Raw genomic sequence first — 22,838 nt, forward strand, 5'->3', positions numbered from 1 at the left:
AACACCCGGGTCCTCCTGGAGCAGTTCTGCGGGGCAATCCCAACTATGGTCCCGCCCATGTGGGTGCCCTGCGGGGCTCTCTAGCCTCCATGAACCACCCTATAACCTGTCAGTGAATTTTCTCCTCGCTTAAAGCAGCAGGAGTAAGTTTCAGCTGCTGACATTAAGAGCCCCTGCTGATTCCTTTATTTCATGTTCTAGTCTTCTCTTTTATCTCCAGTCCTTTTCTTGACACCACTGTTCCATGTCCCCCTCCACCAGAACAAAACATTTAACTTCCACTCCAGTCTTTGTCCACTGGTGCTGCTGTAACAAAATACCATAGACTGAGCCATTTATAAAGAACAGAAATGTAAGGCCGGGTGCGGTGGCTCACACCTGTAATCCCAGCACTTTGGGAGGCTGAGGCAGGCAGATCACAAGGTCAGGAGATCGAGACCATCCTGGCTAACACGGTGAAGCCCCGTCTCTACTAAAAATACAAAAAATTAGCTGGGCATGGCAGCGTGCGCCTGTAGTCCCAGCTGCTGGGGAGGCTGAGGCAGGAGAATGGCATGAACCCGGGAGGTGGAGCTTGCAGTGAGCCGAGATGGCGCCATTGCACTCCAGCCTGAGGGACAGAGCGAGACTCCGTCTCAAAAAAAAAAAAAAAAAAAAAGAACAGAAATGTATATTCTCCCAGGTCTGGAGTCTGGGAAGTCCAAGATCAAGGCACCCACAGGTCCAGTGTCTGTGAGGGGTGCTCTCTGCTCCCAAGATTGTGCCTTGAGTGCTGTGTCCTCACACGGCAGAAAGTGGACGGGCAAAAAAGGGGCAAATGCTGTGTGATGTTTCTTTTATAAAGGCCTTCACCCTAGTCACTAGAGCTCTGCCTTCATGACTTAGTCACCTCTGAAAAGCCCCTTCTTTTAATACTATCACAGTGGTGATTAAGTTTCAACACTTGAGTTTTGGGGGGTACATAAACACTCAAACCGTCATCACTCCCAATACCCAGGCAAACGCTAAGTCATGTTACATTCACTTGTTCAGCTAACAACTATTTATGAAGCTCACCCTCTGTACCGGACAGCATGTAACACTGGGGAAGTAACAGTGAGTTCCCTGTGGTCCTAGGTCCCAGGATATCATTGTCTAGTGTCCACATACCAGGTACTAAAATGCACACGGTATCCTGCACCACAGAAGAGGAGAGTCATTTATTGACCCTGTCCTCTTGTTCTCATTCTCGTTCCTGACAGACTTGCAAAGCCCTCCTGCCTTAGAATTCCTCAGAGTGGGACAAGACCAGCTGCCACCGCCACAGGACTGGGGAGTTTGCCAGAAAAGCACATTTTCAGGCCCCAGCCCACACCTACTGGATTTGAATCTCTGGGGCGGGAGCCTGGGAATCCATGTGAAGCAGCTCTCTAAGGGATTCTCACCCACCCTACAGCTGAGAAGCACTGCTGTAATGGGCCTTCCAAACTCCAGTTTTCTTTTTTAAGCCATTATTTCCCTAACACATGGTTCTGATAATGCCGCTGCATTGAGAAGAAATCACCAATGTGCCACTGTACATTGAGTAACTTCCGTCCTTTCTGTGCTTCTTTCTTGTTGCGAGGAGCAGAGACCCATTCAGGTTGCTGACACGCGGGAGTTTATTGTAGGTGTAACTAAAGCACCTTCTCCTGACCACCCAGGCAAGGTGTCCTGACATTCCTGTTTAGCCCCAGGGTGTGTCTAGCTTTCTCCATGGGGTTACATGTTTCTAGGAGAGTTACTGGAGAGGTATTTTCAGTACCAGGAAAACATGGAAAATTGGGAAAAATAACAAACAGCTTCACCAACCAGGTCCCATGGACACCCTGAGGAACCAGAGGTTCAGGCGCTAATGAGATTTTCCTGCTGCCTCCTCATCAGCAGGCAGCTCTGCTCTCTACTTTCCTGCTCTACCTCTAAAAACAACAACATATCATTCGTTTTATTTTGCATCAAAGGCAATTTTCCAGGCTGTTGAGGATTTTAGGGAGCATTAGGGGCTGCATCTATTATTAATACCTTTTAAACATTTCTCCCCAGATTTATAAGATTTGCACTTATGATATTTTTCAGAGCAGTTCTTTATTTCAGAAGAATCGAGCAGATAGAGTTCCCAGCCCAGCCCCACCATCTTGCTTCCCTGTTATAAACACCTTACATTGTATGGTACATTTGTTACAATTAATAAGCCAATATTGATATATTATTAGCAACCAAAGTCCATCGTTTATTCTGATTCTCTTAGTTTTTTTTTTAAACCTAGTATCTCTTTTCTGTTCCAGGACCCCATCCAGGATACCACAGGACATTTAGTTGTTCTGTCTCTTTGGGTTCCTATTGATTGTGACGGACCAAGCCTGTCCAATCCTCTGCCCATGGGCCACATGTGGCCCAAGACAGCTTGGAATGTGGCCCAACACAAATTCGTAAACTCTCTTAAAACATTATGAGATTGATGCACGGACCTTTTTTATTTTTTAGCTCACCAGCTATCCTGAGTGTTAGCATATTTTATGTGTGGCCCAAGACAATTCATCTTCTTCCAGTGTGGCCCAGGGAAGCCAAAAGATTGGACACCCCGTGACAGACTTTCCTTTTTTCTGATGACCTTGACAGTTTTGAGGAGTGCTAGGGAGGTGTATTGTAGGATGCTCCTCTCCTGGAATTTGTTTGATGATTTTTACATGACTGGACACGGGTTATAGATTTTGGGGAGGAAGGTCACAGAATGAAAGTGCCATATCAAGGGGACACTCTAGCAACATGAATTATGTTTTTTTTTTCTTTTTTTGAGATGGAGTCTCCACTCTGTCACCCAGGTTGGAGTGCAGTGGCACGAACTTGGCTCATTGAAATCTCTGCCTCCCAGGTTCAAGCGAGTCTTGAACCTGCCTCAGTCTCCCAAGTAGCTTTAATTATAGGTGTGTGCCACCACTCGGGGCTAATTTTTTAATTTTTAGTAGAGACGGGGTTTCACTATGTTGGCCAGGCTAGTCTCGAACTCCTGGCCTCAAGTGGGCTGCTTGCCTCGGCCTCCCAAAGTGCTGGGATGACAGGCATGAGCCACTGTGCCTGGCCCATTTATGACTGTTGATGAGGACCTCGATCACCTGAATGGTGCAGGTGATTGGAATGTTACTCTTTTTTTCCTTTTTTCCATCCTGTACTCTTGAGCAGAAAGTGACTATGTGTAGCCCACACTTAGGAGTGGGGAGCTATGCTTTATCTCTCTCAGTGTGCAGCATCTACATACATTATTTGGAATTCTTCTGCCTGGAAGGTTTGTTTCTTCTCCATTTATTAATTTATTCAACAATTTATTTATGTCAGTATGGGATCATGAACAGCTGTAGTATGCTTTGGGTTATAATTAAATATCACTTTATTTATTCCTTGCTGTCATTGTTCCAGCATTGGCCATTAGAAGCCTTGCAGTTGTCTCTGCGCCCCTCTGACATAGCTCCACCAATGGTGGGGGTGTGTGGGGGTGGGGGGGACACTTGAGTGCTTCCTTACTTCCTGTCACTACGAGAAGCTCCAGGCTCATCTTGCATGTTTCCTGCCCCAGCCTTAGAATCAGCCATCTTTCCAAGGAGCCCTGATTCCTTTGATTGGAAACCAAGATCTGGACTCTACGTGTGCTCAGTGCTACTGAGTGGCAGAACCACTCGTTGAACCTAAATGGGTCTGACTCCAAGTCTTGAGACGTTTCCATCCTGAAAGCGTTCTACCTCAGGTCCTCAAGTAATCTCACCACACACGGTGGTCTAGGTCATGTCTGCACCCTGTTGTTGGAGATTTTGAACCAGAGGAAGGGGTCACTCCGGCAGAGGTGGGGAGGTCACAGGATGACCTGGGCTTCCCCCTATGCTGTCCTCTCCTGGTTCTTTCCCTAGTGCACAGGAGATAAAGACACACAGCATTTGAGCTATAGTCAGGTCTGTGGCTGGTGAGCCCCAGACTTTACAGTGCAGTGGAAAGGGGGTGTTTGTCCTGTTGGAAGAGCAGATTCTAGGGCCCACCCCCAAAGGTTTGGATTCAGTGGGCTGGGTGGGACCAAGGTGGTCTGCAGGATAATTCAGATTGAGGTCTCTGCACATCACATCCTGAGAAACGCTGACTTAGGCCCTCCGGTTTTCAGTCTTGGCTCCTCCTGGGCCTCTGCATACATTTGTGGCAGACCTAGAGATGATATCGTCAGGTGAGTGTATGTATGCAGGAGCAGGCATTGGAGATGAGCCAGAGGGCAGGAGGTGGGCCTTGGCCGTGACCATGAAGAGGGAGAAGGGAGAAGGTTAGAGGTATCCAGAACCCAGGAACTGGGGTTACGCAGCTCTCAGATTATACTCCATGCTCATCCGAACTGCGACTTCAGATACAGCAGCATCAGATGGGAGACGTGCTGGGAGCGCGTAATGCTCGCTGCTTCCCGTGCATGTGCCTCACTCACTTCTGTGAACTTCCTCAAAGTCAGTTTTATCATCTACATTTTATGGAATTGAAAACTGAGGAGACCTAACACCGTTTTTAAAAATTATCCTAAGGCCAGGCACGGTGGCTCGCACCTGTAATCCCAGCACTTTGGGAGGTCAAGGCACTTGAGGTAAGGAGTTTGAGACAAGCCTGGCCAATATGGTGAAACCCCGTCTCTACTAAAAATACAAAAATTAGCTAGGCGTGGTGGCACATGCCTGCAATCCCAGCTACTCGGGAGGCTAAGGCAGGAGAATCGCTCAAACCTGGGAGGCGGAGGTTGCAGTGAGCCAATATTGTGCCACTGCACTCCAGCCTGGGCCACAGAGTGAGACTCTGTCTCAGAATAATAATAATAATAATAATAATAACAATATAAAAATAAATAAAATTACCCTAAGGTCACTAGCTAGGACTGAGAGTCTGTTTAACTTTAAAGCTCCAAGACCTTTCTTTCCTTTATTATTTTAATTACACAATTAATACATCAATACAGTTTCTAAAAAAAAAAATCCAACAGTCCAAGCACAGCAGTCTCCCCCTAACCTCAAAAGCCTCCTCAGAAGTAACCTGATATCAGTGGGCTGTGCAGATTCTTGTAGTCTTCTTTGCCTTTATATATGGAAATAACTTTTACGTTTGTTTTCACATAAGTGGAATTATGCTGACTGTATTATATGACTTGCTTTCTTCACATGATAGTAACTCCTGAGTGTTTCTCTATCAGCCACACAAATCTCCTTTATATTGGTAACATTCATCTTTAACCCAGAGACAAGATGAATGTTCAAAAACTGTAATCCAAACTCAGTTCTAAAAATGGGTGTGTGTTTAAACAAGAGCTGCTCAGCTGAGGCGGTTTTGCTGCTGAGGGGATTTGAGCAATGTCTGGGGACATGTGTGGTTGTCACAACTTGTGAGGGGGCTCCTGGCATTGAGGGGGTAGAAGGCGGGAAGGCACAGGTCAGGCCCCTGCAACAAGGAATTGTCAGGCCCAAAATGTCAATGGTGGCAGCACTGAGAAAATGTGATTGGTTTAAACCTACTTATCTTAATTGTGTTTCAACCGTCTTATTAAGGGGCTTGGTCAATATGTGTTTTATCAACACCAACCTTTACATAAATGAGTGCATACTTGGGAGCAGAGGTGGGAACATTGCCCTTGAGCTCAGGAGCTCCAGAGCAGCCTGAGCAACATACTGAGAGCCCATCTCCTAAAAAAACAAAAACATTAAAAGAGTGCTGAATAATAAGTCCATTTTAAACATATGGTAAGATTTCAGATTTTCTGAGGAAAAAATTAATTAGACTTGGCTTCTTCTCTTATTTGAAATTAGCAATACTTTTATACATCTCAAAGTGTGGTTTATGAAAGAGGCAAAATTGTCAATGACTACTTGTTGAATTTTGCTTCCTAACCATGTAATGGGGACAAGTGTTTCCGAAAACATGTTTTATATGGTTAGTTTTCCTGCAGATGGGAATTGTTCGCTGAATTATACTTTGTCCACTTAGGCTTAGGTAGATATGGATTCTGTGAAACTGGAAATCATTGAATGGTTTAAATACTGGATTAAAAGAAAAGGAACTATGGTAATTGCAGATCTGTTAGATGGAATCTGTCGTGCCCTAATAAGAGTGATAAGGAAGACCATTAACTGTTGGAAGCAAGTTGTTGGGTTCGAGGTTGGGAATTGGGCATGATTTGTTTCCTGTGTCACTACTTAGGTTAATTTACTCAGACTGCCATTTTTGTGTTGGAAGGAAATAAGGTCTAGGCCCTAAGCTTAGACTGTCTTCATGCCTAAAGAAGTCCAACCATTCATTATTACTTCGCTAAAGGATGCATGATCACAAATATTTGTAATGAAGATAGTGACTCCTTTTTTCTCAAAATAATTTTAAATTAACTTAAACATGCCTGATTTTCAGAAAGAAAGTATTAAAAGTAAAACCATACCTTTAATTTAGGACTGACTTCTGCATTTCAACTGTAGATTATTCTAGTATGAAGAGTGCTATTTGCATGTTGGAATGAATATCTTTTAATTCTTAATTTGTAAGTTACAAAGAAATAGGAGACTGAAATACTTTTTATCTTACAAAATTCCAAACACCTTTTCAAGCAATTTATATCTTATTTCTGTAATAGTTTTATCACCAGCCAATGGGTATGCACTGTATGTCATAATATGGAAAGAAATTCTTTATTATTTCAGATATTAAGGATTTCAGATTTTAAAAGAGTTATCAGTGAAACCATGTTACAAGAATATTTCCTTCCTGAGACATCTCAGTATTATAGGTGGCTTCAGACTCACAGGCACAGAATACGATAGTGGGAAGCATCTGATTCGCTTTACTCTACTTGGTACCTTTAGGACGTTCAGCCAGAGGTGATTGGAGGGATTTGCACGTCTACCACTCGTGTGTGTATCTGTGAACCATATCTCCTTTAGTGCCTGCTTTTGAACGTTATATAAACAGAATGATGCTGCCTGTTTATTTCTATAATTTTCTTCTTTTCCTTAGCATGTGCTGTTCTTGGCAGCTTGCTTCTCCATGTGAATTTTGGAAAAGCTTCTGAAGTTCCCTTTAGTAAACACCAAGAGAACTATTGCTGGGTCGTATCGTAGTTGCATGTTCAGTTCTCTAAGGCACTACCAATCTGTTTTCTTTTCTTTTTTGTTTTTTTTTGAGACAGGGTCTCACTCTGTCACCTAGGCTGAAGTGCAGTGGTGTGATCATGGCTCACTGCAGCTTTGACCTTCCTGGGATCAGGTGATCCTCTCAGCTCAGCCTCCCGAGTAGCTAGGACTATAGGCATGCACCACCACGCCCATCTAATTTATTGTATTTTTAGTAGAGACCATGGATTTCGCCATGCTTCCCAGGCTAGTCTTGAACTCCTGGGGTCAAGTGATCCTCCCTCCTCGGCCTCCAAGTGCTGGGATTACAGGTATGAGCCACTGCATCCAGCCCAACCTGTTTTCTAGAGTGACTGTTTTATAGTTTTAAAGTCCCTCATCCATTTTGAGCTATGTTTTTGGTGTAATTTATGTGGTTTAGGTCAATGTCCAGTTGCTCCAGCACCATTTGTTGTAATTGTGTAAAAAATCAGATGAGCATTTTTTTGTTGCTCTATTTCTGGGTTCTCTATTCTGCTCCAATCATCTTTGCATCCATGCCTCTGCCAATATAATATGGTCTAATGACTACAGCTATTATTGTAAGCCTTAAGGAAAAAATAAAACAGTCCCTATTTTCAGATGGCAAGATGGTTTACACAGAAAACCCCAAGGTATCTCCAAAAAAGAGCTCCTAGAACTGGTAAGTGAGTTCAGCAAGGTTGCTGGATTCAAGAGTAATACACAAATGTCAATCACATTTTGCATATTAACGATGAACATATGGAAAGCAAAATTTAAAACACAATGTCATTTATAATTAATTGCTCCAAATAAAATGAAATGCCTAGAATATACACTTAATAAAACATGAATAGAATTTGTATGTTGAAAATTACAAAATGCTGATGAAAGAAATCAAAGAAGAACTAAATAAATGGAGAGACATACTGTACTTATGAATTGGAAGATTCAGTATAGTAAAGATGTCATTTCTCCCCAACTTGATAATAGTTGTAATGAAATTGAATTAATGAATCAAATAGAGTGATTTCTCCCACTTTCTTCTTCTTCATCCAGATTGTTTTAGCTATTCTTGGGCCTGCGCTTTTTTCATATAAATTTTACAATAAACTTACCTTTGTCTATAAAAAAACCTTGTTGGGATTTTGATAGGAATTTCATTACATCTGTAGATCAATTTGGGAAGAAATGACATGCTTACTATACTGAATCTTCCAATTCATGAATTAGTATGTCTCTCCATTTATATAGGTCATTTCTTATAGGTTGATTATAGGTATATAGGTTGATTTCTTTTGTCAGCATTTTTTTATTTTGTTGTGTTATGTCCATGGGTTTTAGTTGTAAAGGAGAGGACCTGGGGGAAAAGGAGCTACTTCATCTTGGTGGAATTGGAAGTCCTATTACAGTTGTCTCCTCTTATCCATGCTTTTGCTTGGAAAGTTAGTTTCAGTTACTTGTGGTCAACAGTGGTCTGAAAATATTAAATGGAAAATTCCATAAATAAAGAATTCATAAGTTTTAAATTTTGCACTGTTCTGAGTAGCATGATGAAATCTTGCCCCTTTCTGCTCCATCCCACCCAGGACGTGAATCATTTCTTTATCCAGCATATCTACTCAGCATATGCTGCCTGACCACTAGTTACTTGGTAGTCCTCTTGGTTATCAGACCAAAAAACTAGTATATATAGCGTTTGGTACTATGTGTGGTTTCAGGCATCCTCTGGGGGTCTTGGAATGTATCTCTTGCAGGTAAGGAGGACTCTCTATTGGCTTTTGAACTCTTCAAGGTCAGAGATTTTGTCTGCTTTTTTTCTGCAACATGAAGTCTAGCATGCTGTCTGTCACAGTAGATGGTTTAATACATGTCGGATTAATAAACAAGTAATTGATATTTGTTGAGAAAATAATTTTGTGTTGGATGCAGAGAATATGTATGAGGTATTTTTTCTACCCTTAGAGAACAAACTATATGACTGTGAAAACTTAATGTGAAACTTACACGTTTAGTTTTGTGTAATGTGGTTTTGTTTAGTGGGTATTAGAATGAAATTTGAAATCCAGTGGTCCTGGATATGAATCTGGCCTCCATTAATTTACTAGCTATATGACCTTGGGAAAGTTCCTTAACTTCTCTGACACTAGGATTTTCTCATTTAAAAAATTGGGTGCTGGCTGTAGTCACCTGTCAGGGTTTTTATAAGGTTAAATGGTATAATACATGAAAAGTACTTGACTCTGTGCTTGACATGTAGGAAGCCCTCAAAACTGGTAGTGACTAAAGAAAATGATAAGCAGCATTACAGCACAGGTAAGTGATAACTGGGTTACACAAAGTATAACAGGAACGCCTATGGAAACCTAAAGTTGTAGGGAAAGACTTTATGGAGGAAGCAGGACTTGATCTAGCCCTTAAAAAAGAACAACGCTAGCTGGGCACAGTGGCTCATGCCTGTAATCCCAGCACTCTGGGAGGCCGAGGTGGGCGGATCACCTGAGGTCGGGCGTTCGAGACCAGCCTGACCAACATGGAGAAACCCTGTCTCTACTAAAAATACAAAATCAGCCGGGTACAGTGGCACATGCCTGTAATCCCAGCTACTCGGGAGGCTGAGGCAGGAGAATCGCTTGAAACCAGGAGGTGGAGGTTGTGGTGAGTCGAGATCGTGCCATTGCACTCCAACCTGGGCAACAAGAGTGAAACTCCATCTCAAAAAAAACAAAACAAAACAACAATGCTTAGACAAGCTTCGAGGTGAGAGTGAGTGAACATGGTTATGGCATTCCAAAGAGACAAGACATAATGAGCTATGGTTAGGAAGCTGCAATGTGTATGGCAGGCTCGCAAAACAAAAAGATTACTTGGATGATCCAAGAAATCTTGTACAGAAGTAATAGCAATAAGGTAGACTAGATGTCCTGAAAATCATTCCTCTACAAAATCCCTAAAAATGCTTATTTTTTAAAGACTTTATAGTTACATTTTCAAAAAGTAAGGGAAATCCTCAAATTCCAAAAAAGTACTTAAAAGCATGAATTCAAGCATCAGAGTTAAACTACATAGCAGACCAAATAGGCCTAAGCGACATTTACAGACCATTTCACCCAAATGCTGCAGAATACACGTTATTTTCATCAGGACATGGAACATTCTCCAGAACAGATCATATCTTAGGCCATGTGACAAGTCTCAACAGATTTTTTAAAAATATAAATCATATCAAGTGTCTTTTCTAACAAAAATGGAATAAAACTAGAAATCAGTAGCAAGAAGAACCTTGAAAACCACAAAACACATGGAAACTAAACAACATGCTCTTGAACAACCTATGGGTGAGAAAAGAAATAAAGAAGAAAATTAAAAAATTTATTGAACTACATCACAAAGGAAATACAACATACCAAATCTATTGAATATAGCAAAAGCAGTACTAAGAGGGAAGTTTATAGCAATAAATATCTATATCAAAAAAGTAGAAAGACTTTAAATAAACAACCTAAAATGTGCCATAAGGAACTAGAAAAAAAGAAAAAACCAAACCCTAAATTAGTAGAAGGAAATAAATAATAAAGATCAGAGCAGAAATATATGAAACTGAGACTTAAAAATACAGATCAATAAAATGAAAAGTTGGTTTTTTGAAAAAATAAACAAAATCAACAAACCCTTAGCTAGATTAAGAAAAAAAGAGAGAAGACCCAAATAAAATTAGAAACAAAGAAGGAGACACAACTGAGACCACAGAAATAGAATCATTAGAGACTGTTATGAACAACTACATGCCAACAAATTTTTAAAAATTCTAGGGAACTTAGAAAAATGGATAAATTCCTGGACACATACAACTTACCAAAATTGAACAATGAAGAAATAGAAAACATCCACAAACCAATAATGAATCAGGAGATCAAAGCCGTAATAAAATGTCTCTCATCAAAGAAAAGCCCAGGACCTGATGACTTTAGTGCTGAATTCTAAACCAAACTCTAACCAAACTCCTAAAAAAAAAAAAAAAAAAAAAAAAAAAAAAAAAAAATTGGACAGGAGGGAATAACTGCAAACTCACTCTGTAAGGTCAACATTACCCTGATACCAAAACCAGACCAAAAAAGAAAACTACAAGCCAATATCACTGATGAACATGGTTGGGAAATCCTCAACAAAATACTAGTAAACTGAATTCAACAACTCGTTAAAAAGATCACTGAGGCTGGGTGTGATGGCTCACGCCTGTAACCCCAGCACTTTGGGAGGCTGAGGCAGATGGATCATGAGGTCAGGAGATCAAGACCATCCTTGCCAACATGGTAAAACCCCATCTCTACTTAAAAAATACAAAAATTAGCTGGGTGTGGTGGCAGTGGGCCTGTAGTCCCAGCTACTCAGGAGGCCGAGGCAGGAGAATCACTTCAATTGGGGAAGCATAGGTTGCAGTGAGCCTAGATCGCGCCACTGCACGATCTGCCTGGCAACAGAGACAGACTCCGTCTAAAAAAAAAAAAAATCAGTAGCATTTATATACACCAATAGCAAAGAATATGACAGAGAAATCAAGAGAATAATCCCATTTATAATAGACACACACACACACATACACACACACAAGGAATAACTTTAACCAAGGAGGTGAAATTTCTCTGTAAGGAAAATGACAAAAACTGATGAAAGAAATTGGAGAGGACACAAACAAATGGAAAGACATCCATGCTCATGGATCAGAAGAATTAATATTGACAATTCTACCCAAAGCAATGTACAGATTCAATGTAATTCCTATCAAAATGCCAATGACATTCTTCACAGAAATAGAAGAAACAGTCCTAAAATTTATAAAAAAACCACAAAAGATCCTGAATAGCCAAAGCAATCCTGGGCAAAAAGAACAAAGGAAGCATCACACTACCTGACTTCAAAACGTACTACAAAGCTATAATAACCAAAACAGCGTGGTATTGGCATAAAAAACAGACATATAGACCAGTGGAACTGAATAGAGAACCCAGAGATAAATCCATGCATTTACAGCAAACTCATTTTCAACAAAGTTACCAAGAACATACAATGGGAAAGGACAGTCTCTTAAATGGCGCTGGGGAAATTGGATATTCATATGTAGAAGAATGAAACTAGATCCTTATTTCTCACCATATACAAAAATCAAAACAAAATGAATTAAAGATTTAAATCTCAGATCTGAAACTATGAAACTACTATAAGAAAACCTTAGGGAAATGTTCGAGGACTTTGATCTGGGCAAAGATTTTTTTGTGTAAGACCTCAGAAGCATAGGCAACCAAAGCAAAAATTGAAAAATGGGAGTATAGCAAGCTAAAAGTCTCCTGCACAGGAAATGAAACAATCAAGAAAGTGAAGAGACAACCCATAGAATGGCAGAAAATATTTGCAAACAATCCATCTGACAAGGGATTAATCACCAGAGTATATAAGCAGTTCAAACAACTCAATAGCAAAAAAAAAAAAAAAAAAAAAAAAAAAAACAACCTGATTTATTAAATGGGCAAAAGATCTGAATAGGCATTTCTTAAAATAAGACATACAAATAGACAGCAAGTATATGAAAAATGCTCATTATTACTAATCATCAGAAAATGCAAGTCAAACCCACAATGAGAGATCACCTTACCTCCGTTAAAATGGCTTTTATCAAAAGGGCAGGGAATAACAGATGCTGGTGAGGATGCAGAGAAAGGTGAACCTTTGTACCCTGTTGGTGGGAATATAAGATAGTACAGCCATTATGAAAAACAGTATGGAGGTTTTTCAAAAAACTAAAACTAGAACTACCATATGATCCAGCAATCCCACTGCTGAGTATCTACCCAAAGGAAAGGAAATCATGCATCAAAGGGATACCTGCACCCCGATGTTTACTGCAGCACTATTCACGAAACCCAAGATGTGGAATCAACCTAAGTGTCCACCAACAGATACATGGATAAAGAAAATGTGGTATATATACAATATGGAATATTATTCTGCCATAGAAAAGAATAAAATACTGTCATTTGCAGCAACATGGATGGAACTGGAGGTCATTATGTTAAATGAAATAAGTCAGGCACAGAATGGCAAATGCCACATGTTCTCACTCATATGTGGGTGCTAAGAAAGTGGGTCTTGGCCAGGCATGGCAGCTCACGCCTGTAATCCCAGCACTTTGGGAGGCCGAGGCAGGTGAATCACCTGAGGTCAGGAGTTTGAGACCAGCCTGGCCAACATGGTGAAACCCTGTCTCTACTAAAAATACAAAAATTAGCTGGGCACGGTGGCTCACGGCTATAATCCCAGCTACTTGGGAGGCTGAGGCAGGAGAATTGCTTGAGCCAGGAGGCAGAAGTTGCACTGAACCAAGATCACACCACTGCACTCCAGCCTGGGCCACAGAGTAAGACTCCGTCTCAAAAAAAAAAAAAAAAAAAAAAAAAAGAAAGTGGATTTCATGGAGTGCCTATTCAATATACTCTCATAGAGTAGATTAGTGGTTACCAGAGGCCAGGAAGAGGCAGTGGTGGTGAATGAAGGTTAATTAATGGGTACAAACATGCAGTTTGATAGAAGAAATAAGACCTACTGTTTGCTAGATCAGGAGGGTGACTATAGTTTACCATAATCTAGTGTATATTTCAAAGTAGCTAGAAGAGAATAACTCAAATGTTTCTAGCTCCAAGAAAAGACAAATATTTAAGGTGATGGATATCCTAATTACATGAATTTGCTCTTTACAAATTGTATGAATGTTTCAAATTGTCACATGTATCCCCAAAATATGTACATCTATTGTGTACTAAATAAAATTTTTTTAAATCATGAATTCAGTGATGAGCACTGAAGCCAGCTGCTGCTCTGTGGGCCTTTATCCCTCCCTGATTGCCTGTGGAGTTGGTTTTTTGTCTTGCTCTGTTGCCCAGACTGGAGTACATTGGCACAATCACAGCTCATTGCAGCCTCGACTTCCTGGGCTCAAGAGATTCTCCTGCCTCAGCCTCCCAAGTAGCTTGGACTATAGATGTGCACCACCACACCTGGCTAATTTTTGTATTTTTTGTAGAGATGAGGTTTCACTCTTTTGCCCAGGCTGGTCTTGAACTCCTGGGCTCAAGCTATCTGCCTGCCTCAGCCCCCACAAAGTGCTGGGATTACAGGCATGAGCCACTGCGCCTGGCCTGAGTGTTGGTTTTAAAGGGTTGCACAGGGTGACAGGGGAGAAGAGAAGTCACATTGGGGATCTCTCCCACCATAAACCTAAGTCCTGTATAACACACCTTCAATGTGTGACCTAGACAAACATATGACCCTCAATGGGGCATTGGAAGAAAAGTTGTCCTCTTTTGGCTTTTACACAGGAAAAAATAAAAAGTCCCTGAAATTTGTAACCACAGGGCAGGCCCTTGTGAATTGCTTGAACTCGGGAAGCGGAGGTTGCTGTTCTTCACTTATGAAGAAATGAGGCCCCAGTTTACACTGTCCATGTAGCTTGATAAATCTCAAGCCAAGAACTTACTTCCAAGTGAACCAGAGTTGATAGTATCTGAGATCCATGGTGGTGCAAACTAAAATCTTCTCTGGGGGAATGACCTTAAACCCAGGCCTCAAGTAATTCCTTCAGATCATATTATGGCCAACATGAATCACGATGAAAGCAGTCACGGAGCACGTGAGAGAACAAGGTATCGTGAGTGAGCACCAGCAAAGCAACAAACAGCAGAACCAGGAGAACAAAGACACCAAACAGAATGCCTGTGCACAGGGGAGTGGGATGAGGCCTGCTGCTGCCGGCTTTCCCCCACTTCCCTGGCGACCTGTATGACGCAGCAGAGGCAGCCATAATCCCTCTGGAAACATAACTCCATTGGCCTGGGAATCATGCCCCCATCCCCCACAGCAGCTGCAGCAAGCTCTGCCCAGAGAGAGTCTCAGCTCAGACGGACCTAACCCTGCCCCCACCTGATGGTCTTTTTCTACCTGCCCTGGCAGTGGAAGGCAAAGGACATAATCCCTTGGGAGCTCTATGGCCCTGCCCACTGCCTTACCCTAGGGCAAGCTTGTATCCTCCCTATACAACCACAGCTGATGCACTCTTGAAAGTGCCACCTCCTGGCTGGGGGCCAACCAACACAAAACCAGGGCACTTAACAAAAATACAACCAAGGACTCTGACAGAGTCCACTTGGCTCCCCTGCTACCTCCACCAGAGCAGGTTCTGGTATCCATGGCTGACAGGCCTGAAGATGGATCAGGTCTGTCCATTCTCCTGTACCAGCCAGGAGCCTGGTAGCGCCACTGGGTTGCTAGATCCAGAAGAGAAATAACAATCACTGCAGTTTGGCTCTCAGGAAGCGCCATCCCTAGGGGAAGGCAGAGAGTATCACATCAAAGGAGCATCCTATGGGATTAAAGAATCTGAACAGCAGCCCTTGAGCCCCAGATCTTCCCTCTGAAACAGTCTTCTCAAATGAGAAGGAACTGGAGAAACAATTCTGGTAATATGACAAAACAAGATTCCTTAACATCCCCAAAAGATCACACTAGCTCACCAGCAATGAATCCAAACCAAGGCAAAATTTCAGAATTGCCAGAAAAAGAATTCAGAAGGTTGACTGTTAAGCCAATCAAGGAGGCACCAGAGAAAGGAGAAGTCCAACTCAAAGAAATAATAATTTTAAAAAATGATACAGGATATGAATGAAAAAATCTTCAGTGAAATAGATAGCATAAATAAAACACAATCACAACTCCTAGAAATGGAGGACACAGAGAATTGTAAAATGCACTGGAAAGTCTCAGCGATAGAATCAAATAAATAGAAGAAAGAACTTCAGAGCTAAAGAACAAGGCTTTTGAGTTAACCCAAGCTGACAAAGACAAAGAAAAATAAATTTTTTAAAAAATCAACAAAGCCTGCAAGAAATTAGGGATTATGTTAAGTGACCAATCCTAAGAATAATTGATATTCCCAAGGAAGAAGAGAAATCTAAAAGTTTGGAAAACATATTTGAGGGAATAATCGAGGAAAGCTTCCCTGGCCTTGCTAGAGATCTAGACATCCAAATACACGAAGCTCAAAGAACACCTGGGAAATTCATTGCAAAACGATCATTGCCTAGGCACACAGTCATCAGGTTATCTAAAGTCAAGACAAAGGAAAGAATCTTAAGAGCTAGGAGGCAAAAAAAATCAGGTAACCTATAAAGGAAAACCCATCAGGTTAATAGCAGATTTCTCAGCAGAAACCCTATAAGCTAGATGGTATTGGGGTCCTATCTTTAGACTCCTTAAACAAAACAATTATCAGCCAAGAATTTTGTATTCAGTGAAATTAAGCTTCAGAAATGAAGAAAAGATAGTCTTTTTCAGACAAACAAATGCTGAGAGAATTTACCACTACTAAGCCAGAACTACAAGAACTGCTAAAAGGAGCTCTAAGTCTTGAAACAAATCCTCAAAATACACCAAAATAGAATCTCCTTAAAGCATAAATATCACAGGACCTATAAAACAACAATACTATGAAAAAAAAAACCCCACAAGGTATTCAGGAAATAAATAGCACAGTGAATAGAATAGTAACTCACATCTCAATATTAACATTGAATGTAAATAGCCTAAATGCTCCACTTAAAAGTTACAGAATGGCAGAATGGATAAGAATTCACCAACCAAGTATCTGCTGTTTTCAAGAGACTCACCTGACACAGAAGGATTCACATAAACTTAAGGTAAAGGGGTGGAAAAAGATATTCCATGCAAATGGACACCAAAAGTGAGCTGGAGTAGCTATTCTTATATCAGACAAAACAAACTTTAAAGCAACAGCAGTTTAAAAAAAGACAAAGAGGGACATTATATAATGATAAAAGGACTGGTCCAACAGGAAAATACCGCAATCCTAAATATATATGCACCTAACACTGGAGCTCCCAAATTTACAAAACAATTACTACTAGGCTTAAGAAATGAGATAGACAGCAACACAATAATAGTGGGGACTTCAATACTCCACTGACAGTACTAGACAAGTCATCACGACAGAAAGTCAACAAGGAAATAATGGACTTAAAGTATATCCTGGAACAAATGGACTTAAGAGATATTTACAGAACATTCTACCCAACAACTGCAGAATATGCATTCTATTCATTGGCACATGGAATATTCTCCAAAATTTTAGACCATATGATAGACCACAAAACAAGTCTCGGTAAGTTTAAGAAAATTGAAAGTATAGCAAGTACTGTGTCAGACCACAGTGGAATAGAATTGGAAATCAACTCCAAAAGGAACCCTCAAAACCATGCAAATACATGGAAATTAAATAACCTGCTCCTCCTGAATGATCATTGGGTCAACAATGAAATTTAGATAGAAATTAAAAAATTATTTGAACTGAATGATAATAGTGACACAACCTATTAAAACCTCTGGGATACAGCAGAGGTGGTGCTAAGAGGAAAGTTCATAGCATTAAATGCCTACATCAAAAAGTCTGAAAGAGCACAAACAGACAATCTAAGGTCAACACCTCAAGGAGCTAGAGAAACAAGAACAAACCAAATCAAACCCAGCAGAAGAAAAGAAATAACCAAGATCACAGCAGAACTAAATGGAATTGAAACCAAAGAAAAACACAAAAGATAAGTAAAACAAAAAGCTGGCTCTTTGAAAAGATAAATAAAATTGATATACCATTATCAAGATTAACCAAGAAAAGAAGAGAGAAGATCCAAGTAAGTTGAATTAGAAACAAAACGGGAGATACTACAACCAATACCACAGAAATACAAAAGACCAAGGCTACTATGAACTCCTTTATGCACATAAACTAGAAAACCTAGAGGAGATGGATAAATTCCTGGAAATATACAACCCTCCTAGATTAAACCAGGAAGAAATAGAAACTCTGAACAGACCAATAACAAGCAGCGAGATTAAAATGGAAATTAAAAAGTTACCAACAAAAAAAAGTCCAGGACCAGATGGATTCACAGCTGAATTGTATCAGACATTCAAAGAAGAATTGGTACCAATCATACTGACACTATTCCATAAGACAGAGAAAGAAGGAATCCTCCCTAAATCATCCTATGAAGCCAGTATCACCCTAATACCAAAACCAGGAAAGGACATAACACACACAAAAAAGAAACTACAGACCAATATCCCTGATGAACATAGATGCAAAAATCCTCAACAAAATACTAGCTAACCAAATCCAACAGTATATCAAAAAAGTATCCACCATGATCAAGTGGATTTCATACCAGAGATGTAGGGATGGTTTAACATCCACAAGTCAATAAATCTGATACAACACATAAACAAAATTAAAAACAAAAATCACATGAGCATCTCAACAGACACAGAAAAAAGCATTTTAAAAATCCAGCATCCCTTTATGATTAAAACTCTCAGCAAAATAGGCATAGAAAGGACACACCTTAAGGTAATAAAAGCCATCTATAACAAACCCACAGCCAACATTATACTGAATGGGGAAAAGTTGAAAGCATTCCCCCTGAGAAGTGGAACATGACAAGGATGCCGACTTTCACCACTTCTATTCAACATAGTACTGGAAGTCCTAGCCACAGCAATCAGACAACAGAAATAAATAAAGGGCATCCAAATAGGTAAAGAGGAGTCAAACTGTCATTGTTTGCTGATGACATGATCGTATACCTAGAAAATCATAAAGACTCATCAAAAAGCTCCTAGAACTGGCAGAAGAACTAAGCAAAGTTTCAGGATACAAAATTACTGTACACAAATCAGTAGCCCTGCTTACACCAACAACAACCAAGCTGAGAATCAAATCAAGAACTCAACTTCTTTTACGACAGCAGCAAATAAATAAATAAATAAATAAATAAATAAAATACTTAGGAATATAATTAACCAAGGAAGTGAAAGACCTCTACAAGGAAAACTACAAAACACTGTTGAGAGAAATAATAGATGACACAAATAAATGGAAACACATCCCATGCTCATGGATGTGTAGACTCAATATTGTAAAAATGACCATACTGCCAAAAGCAATCTACAAATTCAATGCTTTTCCCATCAAAATACCACCATCATTCTTCACAGAACTAGAAAAAACAATCCTAAAATTCATGTGGAACCAGAAAAGCGCCTGCATAGCCAAAGCAAAGACTAAGAAAAAAGAGCAAATCTGGAGACATCACATTACCTGATATCAAACTATACTATAAGGACACTGTTGCCCAAACAGTATGGTACTGGTATAAAAACAGGCATATAGACCAATGGAACAGAATGAATAACCCAGAAATAAAGCCAAATACTTACAGTCAACTGGTCTTCAAAAAAGCAAACAAAAACATAAAGTGGGGAAAGGATACCCTATTCAACAAATGGTGCTGGGACAATTGGCCAATCACATGTAGAGGAATTAAACTGGATCCTCATCTCTCACCTTATACAAAAGCCAACTCAAGATGGATTGAAGACTTAAATCTAAGGCCTGAAACCATAAAAATTCTAAGAGATAAGATTGAAAAAGCCCTTCTAGACATTGGCTTAGGCAAAGACTTCATGACCAAGAACCCAAAAGTAAATGCAACTAAAGCAAAGATAAATAGATAGGACTTAATTAAACTAAAAAGTTTCTGCACAGCAAAAGAAATAACCACCAGAGTAAACAACCCACAGAGTGGGAGAAAATCTTTGCAATCTATACATCTGACAAAGAACTAATATCCAGAATCTACAAGGAACTCAAACAAATCAGCAAGAAAAAACAATCTCATCAAAAAGTGGGCTAAGGACATGAATAGACAATTCTCAAAAGAACATATACGAATGGCCACCAAACATATGAAAAAATGCTCAATATCACTAATGATCAGGGAAACACAAATCAAATCCACAATGCGATATCTTTACTCCTGCAAGAATGGCCATAATAAAAAAATTGAAAAATAATAGATGTTGGCATGGATGTGGTGAAAAGGGAACCACTTTTACACAGCTGATGGGAAGGTAAACTAATTCAACCACTGTGGTAAACACTGTGAAGATTCCTTAAAGAACTAAAAGTAGATCTACCATTTGATCCAGCAATCCCACTACCGGGTATCTACTCAGAGGAAAAGAAGTCATTTTACAAAAAAGATACTTGCATACTCATGTTTATAGCGGCACAATTCGCAATTGCAAAAATATAGAACCAGCCCAAATGCCCATCAGTCAACGAGTAGATGAAGAAAATGTGGTGTATATATACACCAGGGAAGACTACTGAGCCATAAAAAGGAACGAAATATTGGCATTTGCAGCAACCTGAATGGAATTGGAGACCATTATTTTAAGTGAAGTAACTCAGGAATGGAAAACCGAACATCGTATGTTCTTACTCACAATTGGGAGCTAAGCTATGAGGATGCAAAGGCATAAGAATGATGCAGTGGACTTCAGGGACTTGGGGGAAAGGATAGGAGGGGGTGAGGGATAAAATACTACACATTGGGTACAGTGTACACTGCTTGGGTGATGGGTGCACCAAAATCTCAGAAATCTCCACTTAGTAACTTATTCATGTAACCAAACACCACCTGTTCCCCAAAAACCTATTGAAATAATAATTAAAAAAAGAATGCCCATGCACAGAATGCACAATGACCAGTTGGAATATATTTGAAGAAATATATTTCAAGAAATAAAAGAGGCTATGAAACATACACTTACGGAAAAAGAGACTTTCAAATGACCAGGTGGACTTAAAATGGAAGAGAAGAGAGTGAGTCAGCAAAGCAGACAGTGCATCACTGTGGGACCTAAAATGCCCAGTGAAGAAAGAGGGACTTTGTATATGAACATGATGGAACCACCGAAATCTCCAAACAGTGAGCCTGACATATGCTAAGTGGGGTTTAACCAGGACTAATCTGGTAGGCATGTGCAGAAGGGACAAAAAGGGTGAGGGTAGCGTAAAGATCAACCACAAATCCCATCGTAGGAGTACCAGTGTGTTTCCCTAGAAGTGATGAGAGTGGAAAGAGTGTATGGAGGTGGAGAAGGCATCACAATGGAGAAATCAACAGTATTTGGTGCCCGGATGGCAAGGGAGTGGGGGAGGATTCTGCTCTAAGCCTCCAAGGTATTAGTGACTCTAGTCACTAATACCTTGTATTCCCTTCTAGAACGTTCCCAAACCCAAATCCCTGGGTTCATCCTCAGCTTCCACTCAGCCACTGTGACCTGGGGAGACCTTGGGAACCATGACCTTTCAAGAAGCACCAGAACGCAGTCAGCCTCCTATTAACAAAAAAAATATGGACTCCACCCAGCCCTTCTGAGACTGGAGTCGTACTAATGGTGCATTAAATATTACGAAGCCTTTTCACACACCCTGCCTCAATGGATCCTTGAAGTAGGTGGTTGAGCCCTTCGTCCTTACTTGTTTTCTGAGTGGTAAACCTGAGGCTCATCAGCATGAAGGGACATCCCCAAAGTCAAACAGGTTGGGGAGTCGGGGAGCCTGGACTAGGCTACTCCAGGTTAGACCTGTCCTCCTCCTTCCACATCTTGAAAGGGGAGACCTCAGGATGGAACCTGTTGGTTTTCATTATGTTCCATTGTCTTTGGGTTCTTGCATGGATACAAGGCATAAAAAGAAATGAAGTTGCTGGAAACTTTTAGTTCTAGTGGGTTCACAGCTATAAAGAAGGAATTGTGTAATGCAATGCATTTTGCAATTTCTCTGATGCTTTTAATCATAAGCAAGTAGGATATGGGGGAGGGGCAATGGCGTGGGGAAAGGGTGGAAAGAGGACTGGAGTTGCTCAGAGAGATACAGTTGTAAAAAGGGATAGCAGCTGAGTTTCTGACGCTAAATTTTTGGTGCCCTATGGTGTTAATTAGACATTTCTTTTCAATCTGATTGACAGTGCATTTTAATGAAGAAATAACAGAGCCCAGCAGAGCCTGGCAGTATACTCTTTTCTTACAATTTACAAGCTGAACTTCCCTTGGCAACCTACATCTGGTTTGCTCTGCTGGTAAGTCTGTCAGTAGAACAATGTATAGGGTCTTTCGTTTCAATAGGTTTGCTGTTGTTAAAGCCTTCTGCATTTTCTTCCGCTTAGTTCATTAGGGCTGTTAAATTTCATCAAATTACTTTCCTTAAGTTAAAAAATAGCACAGTTTTGACCAGTGTGAATAAAAATGGGATAGTATGAAAATGTGCAAGCTTTTAAAGGAAGAGCCTCTCTGTTAAGTGTTGTATAGTGGAGGCTTCATGGGAAATTTTGTAAGTGTTTTTTTTCTCCCTTTAAATGGGATGTTTCCTGGAAAATTAGAATGAACCCTAAAGGATCCCCTAAGCCTCCTGTGACCACTTGGAAGCAGAAGGTCCCCACGCATTAAACGGCTTGACCACCTAGGAGTGCTGATACCTGGGCAAGTGTTTTTGGAACACTTTATTTTATAAGATTTCACCTTTGTTTATATTTCCAAGCAGATTTAAAAAAAGCAAATACATCTTTTGTTTTTTTAACTTCTACCCAGGAGTAAATGTGCATCTCTGCCAGACACTAAGGGGGAATCTTCGCTTTTTGTAGATGAGCCAGGTGACCAGGGAGGACAGAGGCAGGGTAGGCTGGGTTGAACTTATCTTCCCTCACCTAGGGACAGGGGTGGCCTTAGGCC

The 22,838-nt window shown here is 40.5% G+C and overlaps 1 long non-coding RNA gene across 2 annotated transcripts in view; it reads right to left on the bottom strand.

Annotated features, from left to right (window-relative positions):
* Positions 1 to 2,084: 2,084 nt before the first annotated feature.
* The window catches only part of LOC105376156 (uncharacterized), a 40,336-nt gene continuing 19,582 nt past the window's right edge, over positions 2,085 to 22,838 (bottom strand). Inside the window, exons 3-4 of one of the 2 annotated variants that reach the window (NR_188613.1) lie at positions 12,793 to 12,873; positions 2,085 to 4,203 (exon numbers count right to left, since the gene is read on the bottom strand). This is a non-coding gene — a long non-coding RNA (uncharacterized LOC105376156). The remainder of the gene's footprint in view (positions 4,204 to 12,792; positions 12,874 to 22,838) is intronic. The other variant, NR_188614.1, reaches the window with a different exon arrangement.

The sequence above is a fragment of the Homo sapiens genome, chromosome 9 (assembly GCF_000001405.40).
Source record: "Homo sapiens chromosome 9, GRCh38.p14 Primary Assembly".
NCBI classification, from domain to species: Eukaryota; Metazoa; Chordata; class Mammalia; order Primates; family Hominidae; genus Homo; species Homo sapiens.